General features: G+C 47.1%; 1 annotated feature.

The window, feature by feature from the left end:
• Positions 7154–7283: a silencer, noted in NCBI's record as "silent region_10122". NCBI's record gives its function as "represses an Ori minimal core promoter by ATAC-STARR-seq in GM12878 lymphoblastoid cells {active_cell/tissue: GM12878}" and the evidence as "EXISTENCE:reporter gene assay evidence [ECO:0000049][PMID:35858748]".

A 7291-nucleotide genomic window follows, 5' to 3' on the forward strand; every position in this document is an offset into this window, starting at 1 on the left:
TACATATGTTTTGTTGTTGTTGTTGTTGTTTTGTTTTGTTTCTTTTGTATTTTTAGTAGAGATGGGATTTTGCCATGTTGGCCAGGCTGGTCTCAAACTCCTGACCTCAGGTGATCCTCCTGCCTCGGCCTCCCAAAGTGCTGGGATTACAGTTGTAAGCCACCATGCCAGGCCATGAATACATATGTTTTATTGAGTTCTTTTTTTTTTTTTTTTTTTTTTTTTGAGATAGGGTCTCACTCTGTTGCCCAGGCTAGACTGCAGTGGCACCATCTGCTCACTGTGACCTCGACCTCTCAAGCTCAAGCGATCCTCCTACCTCAGCCTCCCCAGTAGCTGGGACTATAGGCGTGCACCACCATACCTAGCTAATTTTTGTATTTTTTGTAGAGACAGGGTTTGGCCATGTTGCCCAGGCTTCTTCTTTTTCAATGAATGTATTTACAGCTATAAATTTTTCCTTCTAGCACTGCTTTCTCTGCATTCCATACATTTTGATATGTTGGATTTTCATATTTGTCTCAAGGTTGTTTTTATTTTTTATTTTATTTATTTTTATTTTTATTTTTTTGAGACAATTTCCCTCTTGTTGCCCAGTCTGGAATGTAATGGCATAGTCTTCGCTCACTGCAACCTCCGCCTCCTGGGTTCAAGCGATTCTCCTGCCTCAGCCTCCCGAGTAGCTGGGATTACAGGTGCCCGCCACCACACCGGGCTAATTTTTGTATCTTTTGTAGAGATGGGGTTTCACCATGTTGGCCACGCTGGTCTCAAACTCCTGACCTCAGGTATCAGCCTCCCAAAGTGCTGGGATTACAGGCATGAGCCAATGTGCCCCGCCTCAATAGCCTCAAGCAATCTTGTCACTTCAATCCCCTAAACTGGGACTACAGGGAGGCACCACTGTGTCTGGCTTGGATCATATTTTAAACATCTATTCTGCCTATCTCTGTTTTTTGATTGGAAAGTTTAACCCATTTCAATTTAAAGGAATTCCTGAGGTGGAAGGCCCAACTTCAGCCATTTTACCATTTGTGTTCTGTGTGTCTTGGAGCTTTTTTGTTCTTTATTTCTTCCATTACTGCCTTCTTTTCTGTTTACTTGACTTTTTGTAATGAGACTTTTTGATTCTCTTATTTCCTTTCGTGTATTTTCTATAGATATTTTCTTTATGGTTACTATGGGGATTACATTTGACATTCTAAGTTATAATAATATAACTTTATTTTATTTTATTTTGAGACAGAGCCTTATCTGTCACCCAGGCTGGAGTGCAGTGGTGTGATCATGGCTCACTGCAGCATCAACCTCCTGGGCTCAAGCAATCCTCTCACCTCAGCCTCCCGAGTATGTGGGACTATAGGTAAGGGCCACCATCCCTGGCTAATTTTTAAAAAAAATTTTTGTACAGACAAGGTCTTACTATGTTGCCTGAGCTCTTGAACTGCTGAGCTCGAGTGATCCTCTCGCCTCAGCCTCCCAAAGTGCTGGGATTACAGACATGGGCCACTGTTCCCAGCAAAGGTTTAAATGATACCTATTTAACTTCAATAGCATAGAAATATTCTATTCTATTAATTGAGAACTAGTCTTGCTATGTTGCCCAAGCTTAGATTTGAACTCCTGGGCTCAAGTAATCCTCCTGTTTCAGCCTCCCAAGTAGCTGAGACTACATGCATGTGCCATTATGCCTGGTTATGGTATAAACATACTCTATTTCCTTTTTTCTTTTCTTTTTTTTTTTTTTTTTTTTTGAGACGGAGTTTCGCTCTTGTTGCTCAGGCTGGAGTGCAGTGGTGTGATCTCGGCTCACCGCAACCTCTGCCTCCTGGGTTCAAGCGATTCTCCTGCCTCAGCCTCCTGAGTAGCTGGGATTACAGGTGTGCGCCATTACGCCTGGCTAATTTTGTATTTTTAGTAGAGACAGGGTTTCTCCATGTTGGTCAGGCTGGTCTCAAACTCCCGACCTCAGGCAATCCGCCTACCTCGGCCTCCCAAAGTGCTGGAATTACAGGCGTGAGCCACCACGCCTGGCCCAGATACTCTATTTTTATAGTTTCCTCTTCTTTTATGTTATTTTTTAAAATTTTTATTTACTTATTTATTTGAGGTAGGATCTCACTCTGTGACCTAATCTGGAGTGCAGTGGCGTGATCACGGCTTACTGTAGCCTGGACCTTCCGGGCTCAAACAATCCTTCCACCTCAGCCTCCCAAGTAGTTAGGACCATAGGTGCCCACCACCATGACTGGCTAATTTGTTAATTTTTCCATAGAGATAAGGTCTCACTATGTTGCCCAGGCTGGTCTTGAACTCCTGAGCTCAAGCGATCCTCTTGCCTGGACTCCCAAAGTGCTAGGATTACTGGCGTGAGCCACCGCCCCCGGCTCTTTTATGTTGTTAATGTCACAAATCACATCTTTATATATTGAGTGCCCAATATCATAGAAATATAATTATTTTTATTACTTTTCTTGAGAAAGCATCTCGCTCTTGTTGCCCAGGCTGGAGTGCAGTGGCGTGATCTCAGCTCACTGCAACCTCCACCTCCCGAGTTCGAGCGATTCTCCTGCCTCAGCCTCCCAAGTAGCTGGGATTACAGGCATGTACCACCATGCACAGCTAATTTTGTATTTTTAGTAGAGACAGGGTTTCTCCATGTTGGTCAGGCTGGTCCGGAACTCCCAACCTCAGGTGACCTGCCTGCCTCGGCCTCCCAAAGTGCTGGGATTACAGGCATGAGCCACCATCCCCGGCTTTCTTTTTTTCTTTTTGAGACAGAGTCTCGCTCTGTCACCCAGGCTGGAGTGCAGTGGTGCGATCTCAGCTCACTGCAACCTCCGTCTCCCAGGATCAAGCAATTCTCCTGCCTCAGCCTCCTGAGTAGCTGGGATTACAGGCATGCTCCACCACATGCGGCTAATTTTAGTATTTTTAGTAGAGATGGGGTTTCACCATATTGGCCAGGCTGGTCTTGAACTCCTGACCTCAAATGATCCACACACCTCGGCCTCCCAAAGTGCTGGGATTATAAGCATGAGGCACCGTGCCTGGCCGGTCTTTTCTTAATTCTTTTTTTCTGGGCCTCTGTGGTAACTGTAATTTCCTCTGTGGCTGCCTTTGAATGACCTAATTGTCAATGTCTGGGTCCCAAGAGAAAAATAAAATAACAAAAGTGCAAAAAGAAAATAAAATTTCGGCTGAGCGAGGTAGCTCTTGCCTATAATCCCAGCACTTTGAGGGGCTGAGGTGCGAAAATCGCTTGAGTTCAGGAGTCCTAGACCAGCCTGGGCAACATAGCGAGACATTGTCTCTACTAAACCTAAAAAAATATTATCCGCGTATGGTGGCACTTGCCTGTGGTCCCAGTTACTCGGGAGGCTGAGGTGGGGGGATTGCTTGATCCCAGGAGATCGATGCTGCAGTGAGCTATAATAGCACCACTGCACGCTATCCTGGGTGACAGAGCAAGACCTTGTCTTAAAAAAAAAAAAAAAAAAGAAAAAAATCAATACCTTCCAAATTCATTATGCGAAGGGGAAAATTAAGCACTTAAGTCCTAGAAACTGAGTCTTATAATACAGCTTCTCTGATGCATGACTGATGCTTCCTTACCTTTGTTTTGAGACTGTAGCCATCAGACTCCTTGTTCTTCATTCAAACCTATACTAAATGATGTAGGATATGTATACCCTTGCGACTGTTACCGCTTTACAATAGAATGTTAAGCAACCCCCATAGAGTGTAATCAACAGTAGTCAATCACATCTGTTTTTTTTTTTATTTTAATTTTTTTTTTTATTTTGAGACAGAGTCTTGCTCTGTCACCCAGGCTGGAGTGCAGTGGCATGATCTTGGCTCACTGCAACATCTACTTCCTGGATTCAAGCCATTCTCGTGCCTCAGCCTCCTGAGTAGCTGGGATTACAGGCATGTGTCACTATGCCCAGCTACTTTTTGTATTTTTAATAGAGACAGATTTTCACTATGTTGGCCAGGTTGGTCTTGAACCCCTGACGTCAGGTGATCCACCTACCTAGGTCTTCCAAAGTGTTGGGATTACAGGTGTGATCCACGGCACCCAGCCTCAAATCTTATGTCTGTATATTAACATCTGTATGGAAATGTATTTCTGTTCAGCACCTCTGTTTTTGCCTATATAGACAATTTTCACTTTTCCCCACACTGGGATCATTGATCACTATTCTTCGGTGTCAGCATGTCCCTGATGGCCACCCTTGTACTCTGTGTTTGAATAAACTCTTTTTTTTTTTTTTTTTTGAGACAAGGTCTCTGTCATCTAGGCTGGAGTGCAGTGGTGCCATCATAGCTTACTGCAACCTCGATTTCCTGAGATCAAGTGATCCTCCCGTCCTAGCCCCCCGAGTAGCTGGGACTACAGGTGCACCCTATCATGCCCAGCTTATTAAAAACAATATATTTTTTTGAGAGACAGGGTCTCACTATATGGTCCAGGCGGGTCTCAAACTCCTGTGCTCAAGCCGTCCTCCAGCCTTGACCTCCCAAAATGCTGGGATTATAGATATGAGCCACTGTGCCTGGCCTTGAATAAACTATTTTAACTGGATCTTGAGCCTTTCGATTATTTTAGGTTGACAAAGGGAAAAAAATAAAAGGCATCAGCTCTTTATATCCCCCACCACGCCTGGCTAATTTTTTGTAGTTTTAGTAGAGACGGGGCTTCACCGTGTTAGCCAGGATGGTCTCAATCTCCTGACCTCCTGATCCGCCTGCCTCGGCCTCCCAAAGTGCTGGGATTACAGGCATGAGTCACTGCACCCGGCCAATTTTTGTATTTTTTTGTAGAGATGGGGTGGGAGGGTTTACTATGTGGCCCAGACTGGTTTCAAACTGCTAGGCTCAAGCAATCCTCCCGTCTTGGCCTCCCAAAGTGCTAGGATTGGAGGCATGAGCCACTGTGCTCAGCCCCTGGCTAATTTTCATATTTTTTAAATGGGGTTAGGGGTTGGTCTCACTATGTTGCCCAGGCTGGTTTCAAACTCCCGGGCTCAACTGATCCTCCTGCCTTGACCTCCTAAACTGCTGGGATTACAGGCATGAGCCACCATGCCTGGCCATAGATTCTTTATGATTTTTATTCTGCCATCTTCCCTGAATCCTCCAACCTGCCTTTTTTTTTTTTTTCAGGCAAAGTCTTGCTCTGTCGCCCAGGCTGATGTGCAGTGGCACGATCTCAGCTCACTGCAACCTCCACCTCCCAGGTTCAATAATTTTTTGTATTTTTAGTAGAGACGGGGTTTCACTATATTGGCCAGGCTGGTCTCAAACTCCTGACCTCGTTATCCTCCTGCCTCAGCCTCCCAAAGTGCTGGGATTACAGGCATGAGCCACTGTGCCCAGCTTAACCTGCCTTTTTTTTTGAGACAGTTTCTCTCTTGTTGACCAGGCTAAAGTGCAATGGTGTGATCTTGGCTCACCGCAACCTCCACCTCCCCGATTCAAGCGATTCTCCTGCCTCAGCCTCCCGAGTAGCTGGGATTACAGGCATGTGCCACCAGGCCCGGCTAATTTTGTATTTTTATTTATTTATTTATTTTATTTTATTTATTTATTTATTTTTGAGACGGAATCTCGCTCTCTCTCCCAGTCTGGAGCGCAGTGGCGCCATCTCGGCTCACTACAAGTTCCGCCTCCCAGGTTCACGCCATTCTCCTGCCTCAGCCTCCCGAGTAGCTGGGACTACAGGCGCCCACTGCCACGCCCGGCTAATTTTTTGTATTTTTAGTAGAGATGGGGTTTCACCGTGTTAGCCAGGATGGTCTCGATCTCCAGACCTCGTGATCTGCCCGCCTCGGCCTCCCAAAGTGCTGGGATTACAGGCATGAGCCACGGCGCCTGGCCTAATTTTGTATTTTTAGTAGAGATGGGGTTTCTCCATGTTCCGAACTCCCGACCTCAGGTGATCCGCCTGCCTCGGCCTCCCAAAGTGCTAGATTACAGGCGTGCTCCATCGCACCCAGCCCAACCTGCCTTTTAATACTAATACATTACTTTGGGTCTCATCCCACATCACTTCATCAGAGAGCATCCTTCCTCTCACCTCAGTTATTTCTACTTTTTTTTCCACGTATAGATGTTTTTTCAGGGACCGGAGGGTATGGGAGGAAGCCTTGGCACGCCTCATCCCAAATGCCCGTTTCCCGGAACATCAGGCCCTTCCTCCTCTTCCTGTCCTCCCTGGCCTAGCCTGGGCTCCCTCCCGTTCTGAGGCAAGGCGATTGCTCCATGTCACAGTGAGTGTGGAGTTCCCTGCACATACTGGTGACCTTGTGTCCGGAAGGAATTAGAAGGAAGAGCTCATGGAGTGCCAGAAGAAGACAGTGCCTACTCTGGCAAGCTAGAAGCAAGCTCTGCATTAAATGCAAATATTGGCCGGGCACGGTGGCTCACATTTGTAATCCCAGCACCTGGGGAGGCCTAGGCAGGAGGATCACTTGAGCCCAGGAATTCACGACCAGCCTGGTCAACATAGTGAGACCCCATCTAACCCACCCCACCCCCGTCACACACACAGCACCAACAACAAAATAAAATTAGCAGAGTGTGGTGGGGCGTGACTTTGGTCCCAGCTACTAGGGAGGCTGAGGCAGGAGGATCGTTTGAGCCCGGGAGATTGGGGCTGGAGTGAGCCGAGATCATGCCACTGCAGTCCAGCCTGGGTGACAGAGCAAGACCCTGAAAGAAAAAAAAGAAAGGAGGGAGGGAGGGAGGATGGAAGGAAGGAAGGAAGGAAGGAAGGAAGGAAGGAAGGAAGGAAGGAAACCAAAACAAGGCCACGCGTGGTGGCTCACGCCTGTAATCCCAGCACTTTGGGAGGCTGAGGTGGGCGTATCACTTGAGGTCAGGAGTTAGAGACCAGCCTCGGTAACATGGCGAAACCCCGTCTCTACGAAAAATACAAAAATTAGCCAGGCGTGGTGGCGGGTGCCTGTAATTCAGCTACTCGGGAGGCTGAGGCACGAGAATCGCTTGAACCCGGGAGGCAGAGATTGCAGTGAGCTGAGATCGCGCCACTGCACTCCAGCCTGGGCGACAAAAGCGAAACTCCGTCTCAAAAAAAAAAAAAAAAAAAAACCAAAACAAACCCTCAAATATCCCTCGGGCTGGGTGCAGGGAGGAAACTCGGCCTGAGAGGCGCAGTGGCTAGAACCAGTCAACACTGCTACGCACAGCCACGTTTCCATGGCTTCCTACGTCACTCAGGCCTTAGGGGGCGGGGTATGTCACCCTATCCAATCAGGGGCGCTGG

This window comes from Homo sapiens, chromosome 19 (genome assembly GCF_000001405.40).
Source record: "Homo sapiens chromosome 19, GRCh38.p14 Primary Assembly".
In the NCBI taxonomy this organism is placed as follows: Eukaryota; Metazoa; Chordata; class Mammalia; order Primates; family Hominidae; genus Homo; species Homo sapiens.